The sequence below is a fragment of the Homo sapiens genome, chromosome 6 (assembly GCF_000001405.40).
Source record: "Homo sapiens chromosome 6, GRCh38.p14 Primary Assembly".
In the NCBI taxonomy this organism is placed as follows: domain Eukaryota; kingdom Metazoa; phylum Chordata; class Mammalia; order Primates; family Hominidae; genus Homo; species Homo sapiens.
Window position 1 is genome coordinate 37,855,651 of NC_000006.12, and position 13,658 is coordinate 37,869,308.

General features: G+C 38.1%; 1 protein-coding gene across 3 annotated transcripts in view, besides 2 other annotated features; it reads left to right on the forward strand.

Moving 5' to 3' along the window:
* The window catches only part of ZFAND3 (zinc finger AN1-type containing 3), a 334,898-nt gene that overhangs the window by 35,924 nt on the left and 285,316 nt on the right, over positions 1-13,658 (forward strand). The gene's annotated exons all lie outside the window — the stretch shown is intronic.
* Positions 11,409-11,609: a silencer, noted in NCBI's record as "peak5795 fragment used in MPRA reporter construct". NCBI's record gives its function as "represses an SCP1 promoter by STARR-seq MPRAs in K562 erythroleukemia cells {active_cell/tissue: K562}" and the evidence as "EXISTENCE:reporter gene assay evidence [ECO:0000049][PMID:32103011]".
* Positions 12,553-12,622: a silencer, noted in NCBI's record as "silent region_17157". NCBI's record gives its function as "represses an Ori minimal core promoter by ATAC-STARR-seq in GM12878 lymphoblastoid cells {active_cell/tissue: GM12878}" and the evidence as "EXISTENCE:reporter gene assay evidence [ECO:0000049][PMID:35858748]".

Genomic DNA, 13,658 nt, shown 5'->3' on the forward strand with positions numbered 1-13,658 from the left:
AGTACTCTCTCTAGTATCTTTTCTTTTTGGGGGGCAGGTGGTGGGACTGCATTGATTTAACCATTGTGAAATCTAGGTTCCATTTTGAAAAAGAAGAGCATATGTAGACCTTCATGTACTTTGCATATACACAGTGTACTTCGTTGGTGCCTCAGTCTTTAAGGATTAACTAGGAAGAATTTTCTTTCTGCATAGAAACTTTATAAAATAACGACATTGTTAATAATTCAGGCATAATATTACATTATACCTTTCTTGAATGCTGACGTTGCATACAAGGGTGATCTGTAAACCTCCATCATTTCCTTGCTCTCACTTTTAGACCTATTTCCTGACATAAAACCTTGGTGGTAGTTCTGGTTTTTTTTTTTTCTTCTTCTTTTTTTATTTTTGAGACAGGGTCTCACTGTGTCGCCCAGGCTGGCTGGCATGCAGTGGTGCTCAAGTGATCCTCCAGCCTGTGCCTCCTGAGTAGCTGGGACAACAAGCACAAGCCACCAGGTCTGGCTAATTTTTATATTTTTGGTAGAGACCCAGTTTCGCCATGTTGCCCGGCCGGTCTCAAACTCCTGAGCTCAAAGTGATCTGCCCCACTCGGCCTCCCAGATTGCTGGGATTACAGGCATGAGCCACTGTGCCTGGCTGGTTCTGTTTCTTCTCTAGTCTTACTTCTGTCAGGCTCACTTACCTGACTTCATGTAGAAGCATTCTTCCTGGATCCATGTTATTCTCTTTTCTGCTAACCTGATATTCTCTTTCTAGCAGTGCTAGTTACTTGTTTCTTTCAGTATTCAGCATATATAGCTTTTCGTGACTGCTTCAGATTACACTCAAAATTCCACCTGCACAATGAAGCAGATACCACCTACGGACTTCCACCTTCCCTTATTTCCCCTTCCATTTAGTCAGGGGCACCCTCCACTCCACCTGTGTATGGTTTGTATTTACTTTAGGTTGTCTTTAAGTTCTAAACTCCTCAAGGCACAATTTGATTTTGTTCTCTTGATACTGTGCCTAATACCTTTGTATTTCATAAATAATAAAATATACATATTTCTTATTTTTTATATACAATAATTTTGTGAGGATGTATTTAATAATGCTAATTAACAAAGCAAATACTGTACCTAAAACAAAATGCATGGTTATAATTGTCCGTTTGGTTTTTTATTTTTATTTTTTTTGAGAGTGAAAGTTTATTACAAATGAAAGATTTGACAAATTATTAAAAAAGCTGACAACCCACATAAACATCGCAAAATCTAGATGATTAATATTATTTATTGTTTAACTCTTGACCTTTTTTTTTTTGAGACAAGATCTCACTCTGTTACCCAGACTGGAGTGCAGTGCCGTGATCAAAGCTCACTGCAGCCTGACCTCTTGGGCTCAAGCAATCCTCCCACTTCAGCCTCCCCAATAGCTGGGACCACTGACAAACGCCACCATGTCTGGCCTTTTTACTTTTTGTAGAGATGGGGTTTCACCATGTATAGCTGTCCTTTTTATGTGTTTGTGCAACTATATTAGAAAATCCAGAATAATGGAATCATAAAAATAGCCCACGTTCAGATATGCTTTATAATAATCTGATTAGGATAAATATTATGTTTATCAACACAATTGTTTATTTGTTAAGAATGAAACACTGTGCTAAGGCTCTGCAGAAACATATAACATGATAAATACCTTGTATTGGGGAGACAAATGAAGCGAATACAAGTGAGTCTGAAAAACATGGTACTGTGGAAACAATGGTAAGTAAACATACCAGGCAAACTGTGTGGGAATAAAAGTATCTATTTTTAAAGAAAAAAAAAATTAGAGGCCCAGCAAATTTCAAATACTATTTAGCATGGGGCAGTTTTTTTGGATTTATAAATTGGATTGAATCTCAAAAATTCATTGAAATGATGTGTGATTTATGGAACAAACTAAACATATGGAGGGTTTGTAGAGTAAAGGAGTTTCATTTTCAGCAGTTGTAGAAGTCTTGCTGAGGAGGCGACTTGTCGAGCAGCTTGAGATTATTATGGATTTTTACAGTAAGAGAAAATTGTAGGTAATAGCCTAATATGGTCTAATCTCAACTTTACCAGTCCCTGCCTCCATAAGAGTATAATAGTTTATGTGATGGCTTGAATGCCAGATGACCAGGTCCAGTGTGTGTGAGGGTGTGGTGAGTGAACTTGTTGGTATGTCTAGAGAACTTGGTCAGTTGTATCAGATAGACCTTTTAGGGTTATGAGGAAGAGATGTTAACTTCAGGAATGGGCCTTTGAGTGTACAATAGTGTAGGATAGTGTCTGTTTATTAATTGTGCATTCACTCTGGGTCCTCTTCCTTCCTAGACTAGGAGTTAGAGTACTCTTGGTGGAGAGAGCTTAGAATCACTTGGAAAACTGTGTAAACTCTAGTGACCTGCCCTCTCTGTGCCATAGTGTTTGTGAGAGGGTCTTTTTGGATAGTTTGCTAACATTCCTGTGTAGTTGCCCTTGTTGAGCCAAGTTTGACCCTAGGTGTCCAGTCAGTCTATGGCATCCTTTGCTGGGACACCAATAGCTGGTTCAGCCTGGCACAATCAGAATATTAGGGTTGTCTTCACTGATAGACACTGGCAACTTTATGCTGGAAGAACTTCTTGGGACACTTTTCCTGGGGAGGGGATGGTAGATTGTAGGTGGTTTGTAGCAGGTACTAAGGACCTTCAAGACTTCACCAGAATGCCAACATGTGGTTGTAAGAAGGGTTATGCTTGACGTGCCGAAAGGTTAGAATAAGATTGAAAACTAGCATTGGAGTAGGCTGTGGAGTAATAGAGCTTTGAAATCCTTTTTGAGGCTTTATGTGCTTTCAAAGAGGATGGCTTCTGGCAGTGGAGAGTAGTTTTTTCCATAAAACATTTACTTTGCAAATATATAACAAAAGACTGTTTCCACCTATATGACTGAAAAATGGAGCATTGACTATAAAACACATCCTGTTATATTTTCCTGATTTGAACACAAAAGACATGTATTGCTCATCTAACACTGTGTATTTAATATTTCCTGCGTATGAGTGAAACCTGTTAAACAAGGTGAAGAAAATCTATAAAAGGTTAAGATGTTTTTAAAAACAATTTTTGGGGCAGCGTTTTGAAGACCAGTGTGTTTACTCCTTGAGGATTTATTAATGTTTAATTGGCTCTTTCGTGTTTATAGTGCTCTGCTGCAAACACCTTTTTTGATTTTACCAGTAGCTGCACTGCCATTTCTTTATACTAGAAGAGCTAGAAGATTTGCTGCCAGGGCCAGCATTGTGCATGTCGTACTTTCATGCATGTATTATTATTTTAAAAAATCCTGTGTCTGTGGGAGCAGGTCAGCTACATTTCTGATACACGTATGTTTTAGCCCTGGCTTCAACAAGGAGCAGCATGTTGTGATGTAAAGAACTTTGATTTTGGAGCCAGAAAGCCCAAGTTAGCATTTTGGCTCCACCACTTGTTAGCTTTGTTGCCTTGAATAAGACAACCTCTCTTTATTTCAATTCCATTACCTGCTTTACAGGATTGTTGAAAGGATCAAGTATGTTAATGTATATACTAGTACTTTTTAGCTGAACAGAGAAAATTTATGTTTAGATTCTATCCATCTCATTGATTCTTTCTATTAAAGACAGATGATCCTGGCACACTTTTGCTTAAATTTTATTTCAGTGTTCTGTGTTTGGCAATTTGGACTTGGCCTGTAATATCTTCTGTTGCTGAACCCTTTCTTCTCTTCATCGCTCTTCCATACCATCTGTAGCTATGATTGTCTGTAGTTGTCACCAGAGACTTTGTTGCTCTTTAAATAGTATATTGTATGTTACAAAATACATAATTTCTACCTACCAATTTTCTGATCTTATGGTCTATTTTCATATCTTATGGTCATGAGCTAAAAATTAATGTTTGCTTATTGGGGAGGGGCATGATAGCAGCAGGCTGGAGACCTTCAGGTGAGGCTTTGATTTCAGTGATAGGTGAGGATTGAATTCATGAATGGCTTGCAAATATTGTGGGACTGGCCTTGTACCTCAATCAGTTTGTGTAACATTTTAGAATGTAGTAGCTTTTCTCCATTGTCATTTGAATTTTGATGAATAATGATTTATTTTTCTGTCTTTAAAAAGGGTTTTTTTTTTTCCTGAGATAGAGTCTAGCTCTGTTGCCCAGGCTGGAGTGGGTTTTTTTTTTTTTTCTTTCTTTTTTTGAGATAGACTCTTGCTCTTGTCACCCAGGCTGGAGTGCAGTGGCGTGATCTCGGCTCACTGCAACCACCACCTCCTGGGTTTGAGTGATTCTCCTGCCTCAGCCTCCTAAGTGGCTGGGATTACAGGAGCCTGCCACTACGCCCAGCTAATTTTTTTTTTTTTTTTGTATTTTTTAGTAGACGTGGGGTTTCACCAGGTCTCGAACTCCTGACCTCAGGTGATCCACCCGCCTCGGCCTCCCAAAGTGCTGGGATTACAGGCGTGAACCACCGTGCCAGGCCAAAAAGAGTTTTTTTTTTTTTTTTTTGGAATGTACCTGTAAACCCAAAAGGACCTGAGGTAAGAAGTGGCAGTTTTATGGAGTACTTACATAGTAAAGAGGAATAATATTATAAAATATTATGGTTTTAAAATGCATGGCCTCCAGTAGTTTTTGTGGCTTATATTCAGAAGTTTGACTTAAAAAGAAATTCCAGAATTTCAAAAATTTGTTAGCCATAAGTATTTTGTGACTATGATGTTAATGAATTTGCACTCCCCCTGCTGGCTGACTTTTTAGGAAGACAGTGAGTTAGGAAAAGCAGAATCCTAATTCAGACCTGAGAATATCTGTCAAATTTTTTATTCTCTGTAGAAGTGGCTAAAGTTATAGGGGGTATCATTTTGAGTAAGAAATTGATTGCATTATGTCTTTCCTCATTTGGACTTGTTTGCAGTGATGTTTAGTGCCAAGGGGATATTCACTTAGTTTTTTTTTTTTTTTTTTTTAAGTAGGTTTAGATTTTAGTTAACACTATATACCATATATTTACTCTTCTCTGTTTGTGACGGCCACATCAGGTACCTTTTTCACCCAGTTTTTTTTTTTCAAACAGAACAACTTGTAATTTCTGTGCCTTTATTTGATCATTTATTCATTTATGGGATGTGGCTTAGTTTCTGTAAAGCACTGATAGGTGTTGAGGTGGATGTAGAAGGATGAGATATGGTACTCCATGAAGCCTTAAAGCTTCTCTGCTGGAAATCTGTACCATATGCCAGTGAAATGTTAAATAAAAATGAGAGCAATGTCTAGTTAAATAGCATAAGGCCGGGCGTGGTGGCTCACACTTGTAATCCTAGCACTTGGGAGTCCCAGGCGGGCAAATCACTTGGCAAGGAGTTCAAGACCAGCCTGGCCAACATGGTGAAACCCTGTTTTTACTAAAAATAAAAAAATTAGCCAGGCATGGTGGCACACTCTTATAATCTAAGCTACTTGGGAGGCTGAGGCATGAGAATTGCTTGAGCCTGGGAGGTGGAGGTTGCAGTGAGCCAAGATCGTGCCACTGCACTCCTGCCTGGGCGACAGAGCTAGGCTGTGTCTCAAAAAATAAAAATAAAAAAATAGCATGATGAAAGTAAACAGTTTGATTTCAAAGATGAGAAAGGCTATCATAGTGTTGTAGATAAAGTGGGTATCAAGAGTGACTAGAAAAGGACACTGAAGAAATGATGTGGTCTAGGTAGACAGGAGCGGGGAGGAAAAGGACAGGCATTCCAGGCTGAGGGGACAACATGATAAAAAAGACGAGTAGGAAATTAGTGTAATTTATTAAGGGTACAGTGAAAAAAGAACTGTTTCAGGGGCTTTACGTACTTACTTGATTTGATCCCAGCATTAATCTTCTGGTGTGGTATGAGTGTCTACATTTCACAGGTGAAGAAAGTAAGACTTACAGGGGTTAAAACTATTATGAAATATTATGAAAGAATTATGAAACTTCTAGGTTTTCATCCTCCATATATCTGGCTGCAAATAAGTCTGTGCTCCTCTAGCAATAACTTCAGAGAGAGTTGGTTAGTACCACAGAGCCTTATGTATTATGATGTGTGGTTTTCACACTCCAAAATTTACTTAGAAATACTTCTTTTTAAGCATTACATATGGATAACTGGAGCTTTATTCTAATATTTCACTGTTTTTAGAGCCTTGTAAGCTTATTGAACTATTTCAAGTAGAAATAGAAAATATGTTGTATGTGTTTTGCTGCTCTGCATCATAAGCATTTTCTTATAATCTTTCCCAGTGTTGTCACTGATGCAAATGGAATAATTGATTCATAACATTCTTTCTTATTAAGTTGGGCTATGACTTCAGAATTATTTTTTAAAAATGTGCTCAAAGAGGAAATAGCCTAAGAAAATTTTATTTTTTAAGTTATGTTTTGATTTCTGTTTACTTTTTTATATGTTTACTTTTTATTGAATTTTTTAATGTTAAAAAATTTAATTTTTAAGTTATATTTTGATTTTTGTTGTTTTTTAACCATATGTTTACTTTTTATTGAATTTATTAATATTGCAAAGTTCTTGCACTGCCAAACCATGCCTAAGAATTCAAAGAAAGAAATGGTACAGTAGACGGCCTCATTCACCCATCATACAGTATCTTAAAACTTGATTCATGTACATTTTGATATTTTCATAGTCTTTTAAGAAGTTATAACGAGTTGGAATTTAAATCTGCTGCAGGGGCTGAGCACAGTGGCTCATGGCTATAATCCCAGCACCTTGGGAGGCTGAGGCTGGAGGATTGCTTGAGCCCAGGAGTTGAGACCTGGGTGACATAGTGAGACCCTATCTTTCCAAAAAAAAAAAAAAGAAAAAGCAGGCATGGTGGTGCTTGCCTATAGGCTCAGCTACTCAGGAGGTTGAGGTGGGCGGGCTCACTTGAGCTCACTCAGGAGGCTTGAGCTGGGGAGGTCAAGGCTGCAATGAGCTGTGATCGTGCCACAACACTCCAGCCTGGGTGACAGAGCGAGATCCTGTCTCTAAAAAAAACAAAACAAAACAAAAAAAAAACAAAGTGCCCTGGGCCTTCAGATGTCTAGCATAGTATGGTATTACAGAACATCTCCACGTATTCATGTCAGTTCATTCCTCAATAACATAACCCCTAACAAAATTTTGCTGGGAAAAAAAAATGGGTATTTTCCAGGGAAAATATTTGGGCCAACTTCCAACTGATTATTTGTTAACGTTTTTTTTTTTCTCAGATGAAGCCTTGTCTAACTAAAAATCCCCTATTTCTTATTTAATCACCCAGCCTCCCCTTGGCTTGCTCAGCTACTCACCCAAATCCATCAGAAGGCAGGCATCGAGTAATGGCAACACTATTGCTGTGGTTGGCAGGTCTTGTCAGGAGATACTGTAACCTTCCTAGGAGTCTGATTCCTGCGCTGACACTTTGATCAAGACTGAACTCCAATAGGAGAATGCTCCCACATCAGGATAAGTTTATTCACCTATTTGCTTTATTTACTCTTGCCAGAGGCAAGTCTGCAACTCCCTGCATTTGGCAAAGGGATTTATTAGAAGGAAACCCACATTCCACATCAAGTGGTCACATACCACTTTGAAATATTTCTATTGAATCAGATACAAAACTAGTAAATTGCCAGACTGTCTCATTAGGTGGAAAGAAACTTCTGTAATCCTGGGTAGGTTCCTCAAGTCCCTTTTAAGGACCAAAAACCGCAATTACTTTTGCACCAACCTACAGGTAGTTTAAACTGTAATTATTAAAAACAGAAGTGCTACATCACTTGTCTTTCACCCTGACTCTTCAAATGACAATAAAGACACACCAAAAGGTTGATAATAGAACTAGTGATTTCTTTGATTTTTAATGATGACCTGTTTTAGTGTTATTGCTTAACAGTTTTAGGTTTCACAGGTTTTTTTTTTTTTCTTTTTCAGTTTAACCAAAATGGTTTCTGAAACATATTTTCAAATGGGTAAGCAGTCATGGCTTTGATTATAGTATCCACTTAATTAGGACCAGGCAGTCAGTCATCTGTTCTGGGAGACAAACCAGTCCAGGACAAGTAGCGTTTGGACAATATGCCAAATCCTGTCACATCACATTGTTGCTCTAAAATGGGTGGATGGATTGGGTTGATGGCATACGCTAAGCTCCATGAGGGCAGGGATTGTGGCTGGACTAAGTCTAGTGGCAATTAAATAGAGCTCAAATTAAATAGAGCTTTTGCTTTGAGGTCTGAATCCATCTCCATGATTTGTCACTAGACTAGTGACAAACAGTGGCTGGGATAGCATATGTTGTTTAGACAGCTTTTGCTTGTTCTAAAAGTTTGAATGTGAATTGGGGTTTGCAACTCAAAATTTGTGTTTAATATTTGCACCTTATGTTTAATGAACATAAAGTTTGTGTAGGCCATGTGAAAATCAGAGACTGTATATTTGGCTGAATTGCTCTGTAATACATATATTTTATTTGGGAGCTCTCTGTATTACCGAGGACCAGGATAGAGACTCTTACTGTTTCTGACCTGATCATTTAAGGGCAGGTTTTTGCCAGGTTATGAGACTGATGCATCATGCCTTGACCAGTTAAGATTAGTGACAATTTAAATTTTCTGCTTTTGATTTAAGTAAAAATTCAAATTAAATAGAGCTTTTGCTTTGAGGGCTGAATCCATCTCCATAATTTCTTTCTACATGCACATGTGTAGACAATTTCCCTTTATCTGTTCTTACAGATAAACTTCTCCATAATTGCACACTTATCTGGGGATCTGAGATAAGCAAAATGATGGTTTCTTAATTAAATATGAGTACTGTGCAGTAGTAACCATAATTCTAAATGAGGATTATGGATTTTTCTGGAAGATTCTTTTTTCCTGTGGAACATGATGAGAAATGTTTAGGAGAGGGGACATAGCCATTTTTGTATGAAGACCAATTCAAGAAAAAAATATATGTATGTGTGTGGGTGTATATGTGTGTATATATGTATATATGTGTGTATGTTCATATGTTTATGTATGTTTATATATGTGGTTATACACACACACACACACACACACACACACACACATGCACACATACACGCACACTCTCACTCTATATTTATTCTTTGGTATTCCTGGGGGATTGATTCCAGAACCTCCTGTAGATACCAAATCCGAGGATGCTCAAGTCCCTGATGTAAATAGCTTAATATGGCTGGGCGTGGTGGCTCACATCTGTAATCCCAGCACTTTGGGAGGCCAAGGCGGGCAGATCACTTGAGGTCAGGAGTTTGAGACCAGCCTGGCCAATATGGTGAAACCATGTCTTTACTAAAACTACAAAATAGCTGGGCATGGTGGCGGGCACCTATAATCTCAGCTACTCAGGAGGCTGAGGCACGAGAATTGCTTGAACCTGGGAGGTGGAGGTTTCAGTGCGCCGATAGCGTGCCACTGCACTCCAGCCTGGGAGACTGGGTGACACTTCGTCTCAAAAAAAATAAAAAATAAAAACTTTAGTATTTCCATAAACTTGCGTACATCATCCTGTACGCTTTAAATCATCTCTAGATTGCTTATAATACCTCATACAATGTAAATGTTGTATAAATAGTTGTTGTATTGTTTTGTTTAGGGAATAATGACAAGAAAAAAGATCTGTACACGCTCAGTACAGGTGCAATTTCTTTTTCCGAATATTTTCAATCTACAGTTGGTTGAATCCATGGATGCAGAACCCACATTAAACAGAGAGCTGACTGTATGTAAAATATGGCACACACAGATACACACGCACACACTTGTCTCTTGAAATTATGCCTTTTAAACTCAGATCAAACAATATCTGTCATTGTACTTAAGCCTTATCTCTGAAGAATTTCCCTTTTTTGATGAAAAGTTAGAAACTACATATTTTACATGCATTGCAACATCTGTGACTTTGGGTTGGGGATGTGGTTTGAACAGTTTGGGTGGACAAAATAAATTGACTTCAGAGTTAAGTTGTAGACTCAGGACACGAAGGACAGTTGTGTTATAGCGTCACAGGTGCAGAGGAAGTCAGAGGCAAGGGAGTTGCCATTTGGAATGGAGAGCTGGGTTAAATAGGAGTAGGTCACAAAGAGTGTGGTCCGTAGGTAGGTTGCAAGTCGAACGGTAGGTGCAAAAGTGCAAAAACTTCTCTTTTCCAACTATGAAACTAGGAGTGGGGCTTTCACCCTTCAGTCTTCCTGCATCTTTAGCTGCTTTACTTAATTTCTGGTCTGTGTGCCCTAATGCCATATCTCTGGTGGCAACTCCTATCTTTTTGCCCCTCACTGCTGTAGAGATGGAGGTCTCACTATATTGTCCCGGCTGGTCTCAAATTCTTGGCCTTAAACTATCCTTCTGCCTCCTCCTCCGCCTCCCAAACTGCTAGATGTGAGCTGCCCCAGGCTCTGTAGTGGCAACTCCTACCTTAACCTGGAGATAGTAGGAGCTCTGTTTGTCCCAGGTGGATAGTAGGAGAGTTGATTGGAATTGTTCAGCTAAAGGGAAGCTTTTTAAAAAAAGTATGTTAGAATGGGATTAGGTGAGATTATCATTCTTTTATTTTCCAGTCTTTTTTGTTTCTTCCTGAAATTAGATTTGAGGGTGGTATTGTGAAGTTAGGTGGTTTGGTCTATATATAGTTTGCCCAATGTTGTTATATGATGTGGTATTTGAGAGAACTCTAAATTATCTTGATAACCCCCACTTCTTTTTTTCTTAGATGATTAATAAGAATAGAATTAAATTAAAAGACAGCTTTTTAATTTTAAAGACATTATTAGACTGTCCAAACATGTCTGAATTCTTAGAATTAAAGGGAAGTTTGAAATTAAAATATTGGCTTATCCAGAAAGTAGTCATGTTAAGGCTGTTTTGTTGACTGCTTGATTAAAAATTAGGTTACCCAGTGGTTTTCACAGGACACTCCCAAAGATTGTTGAAAAAGACATTTTGAGTGTAGAAGTATCTGAGATACTGGTGCACTGTACTTGGTGTAGTGTATTATCCAGTGACCTTTGAATTTTCTGTGTCACTTAAAGAAAAGAGGTTCTTATTTTTACTTCAATCACTGTAAATGTCAGTGAGAGATAGCTCTGTGGTCACTGACTTTCAACAGTGGTAAGGTCAGGTAAGAACTTCACGAAGCCTTTTAGGAATTTGTCTGTAAAGGGCACTGTGTTGTCATGAAACATACGGACTGCTTTACTAAGGACCTGGGATGCTCACACAGAAGGCAACTCCATTTGTGGAGAAGGCTTATTTTGTCTGAATTGTTTAATGTCTTGTCTCAGACAGATGATGACTCAAAGTCAAATGTTCACCTTTAGGGGACCCAAAAGGATACAAAAGAGAATGCATAGTAATGATTGGCCTATAGGCGGTTGAGTGGCAAAGCTAGTTTAAAGAAGAAAAATCCTTCCTATCTTTTTTTGTAGTTCTGTAAGCATTATTTGAAGAAACTTGGATTTCCCTGTGTGCTTTAAAGTGAAGTGCATGTTGTGCAGTAAAGAAGCAGATCTAACCTCATTGTGGAACTTGCTTGCTGTGGTGAATCACAGAAGGAATGATGTGAAGGCAACATTTATATTTTCGTGCGTGAAAAATTCATATGAATCACAGACAGAAACTCAGAAGTGGCCATGTCACTCTGGTTTCTCTGTTAAGGAGCTGTGGTCCTAAGCTTGCTGCTGACAGGTAGCGAATTAGAAATACATCTTCAAATTACCAATTTTTCTGCTGCATCTGCTGCATTTTAGACTAGTAAAGGGAAGGAGCAGACCAATGATTATGCCCTTTCCTCTCTGTGGCACCCCTATTTAAGGAAAGGGGATTTGAGGTTGTTGTATGGGTCCTTAATGTGGGTTTAAAAATTTTTCATTCCACATTAGTGGTACTTGTCCAATTTTTTTTGATCAGCTAATGAAATATAATAACTGTTTGCATATTTTACTGCCTATTCGCCATAGTTACCTAAACTAGTGGCATTGCTAGAAAATGTTGAGAATTGTCACAATAAGAACCAGTACTCAGTCTTTGATAAAGTTCCCAAAGTATGCTTTGTAGGAGGGACTAATTGTCCATTGTGACATGAACCTGAATATTAGAGATAGTGTACTATAGTGAAAAAGTACTTTGGGTGAAAGACTGGATTCTTGCCTTGGCTTTCTTACTTGAGTATATGATTTAATATTTTTGACCGAGAGTTGCTATTATACCAGGGGACAATAACTTCCTCCTTTTTTCTTTTTGTTTCACATTTAAACAGGGTGGTTGTTAAGACCAGTGAGAGATAAATAAGCTAATGTAAATGTTGACACCTGCTACTTGAAAGTTAAGAATGATGTTAATTGTTAAATTTTTCTTAGATGTCTTTACTAGATTGAAATTTCCTTTAATTCTTAATTTGATGAGTTTTTTCCTTCATAAATGTGTATTGACATGTGTCAAATGCTTTTACTGCATCTTTTGAAATGATGATATGGTTTTTCTTCTTTATTCTGTTAATGGGGCATTCCCTGCCCTGTAGGAGTGATAGTTGAATAGAAAGAAAAACAAAGAAATGGTAATATCTGTTGTGATTGAGGGTTACAAAAGATGCAGTGGGAGTGTAGAGAGAGGAGTAATGAAATCAACCTGATAAAGTTAGGAAAACTTTCAGAGAAACTGGAACAAGATGGAGCTTTGGCATTTGTGATAGAGGGAGGGAGGGGAGTGGTATATCTTGGGCAGAGGACATGGCCATTGTAGTGGGAATATGGGGTACATAGTGGAGGGTACTACCTAGAGATGTGACTGTAGCGCGGGGCTGGGGTTGTGAAAGGAGCATTACATGCTGTGTTAAGGTTTCTGTCTTGTATGTGGTTATAGGAAGCCAAAAACCAAGCCAAAGAGTTTTGAGAAAGTGAGGAATGTGATGAGATTTTTGTGAAAGATCTCTCCTGCAGTATTATGGTGTGGGTGTTGATGAGTTGTTTTAACAACCTTACATTCCTGTGATAAACGTCACTTGGTCATGATGAATCATTTTTAAATATATTACTAGACTCCATTTGTTAGTGCAGTATTTTGTTAAAGATTTTTGCATACGTGCTCATGTTTTCTTTGTCACAATTTGATATGAGGTGTTATGCTTGCCTCAAAATCAGTTGTTAAATATTCGTCTATTTTTCTGGAAGTGTTCAATTGATGTTAGTTATTCCTTAAATGTTTGAGAGAATTTGCCATTTGAACCTGTGGTTTGGTTTGTGTGAATATTCGCATTTGATAACAAATTCAGTTAGTAGAGTTAGGGCTATTAGGATTTTTTAGTCTATAGTATGTCAATTTTGATAAGTTATATTTCTCATGGAATATGTCCATTTTGCCTAAGTTGTCAGATTTTTTTGGCATAAAGTTCATTGTATCGTTCATTTAATAATATATGTATGGTCTGTAGTGATTTTGTCTTTATTTATTTATTTTTTGAGATGGAGTCTCGCTCTATCATCCAGGCTGGAGTGCAGTGGCACGATCTTGGCTCACTGCTGCAACCTCCACCTCCCGAGTTCAAGTGATTCTCCTACCTCAGCCTCCCGAGTAGCTGGGATTACAGGC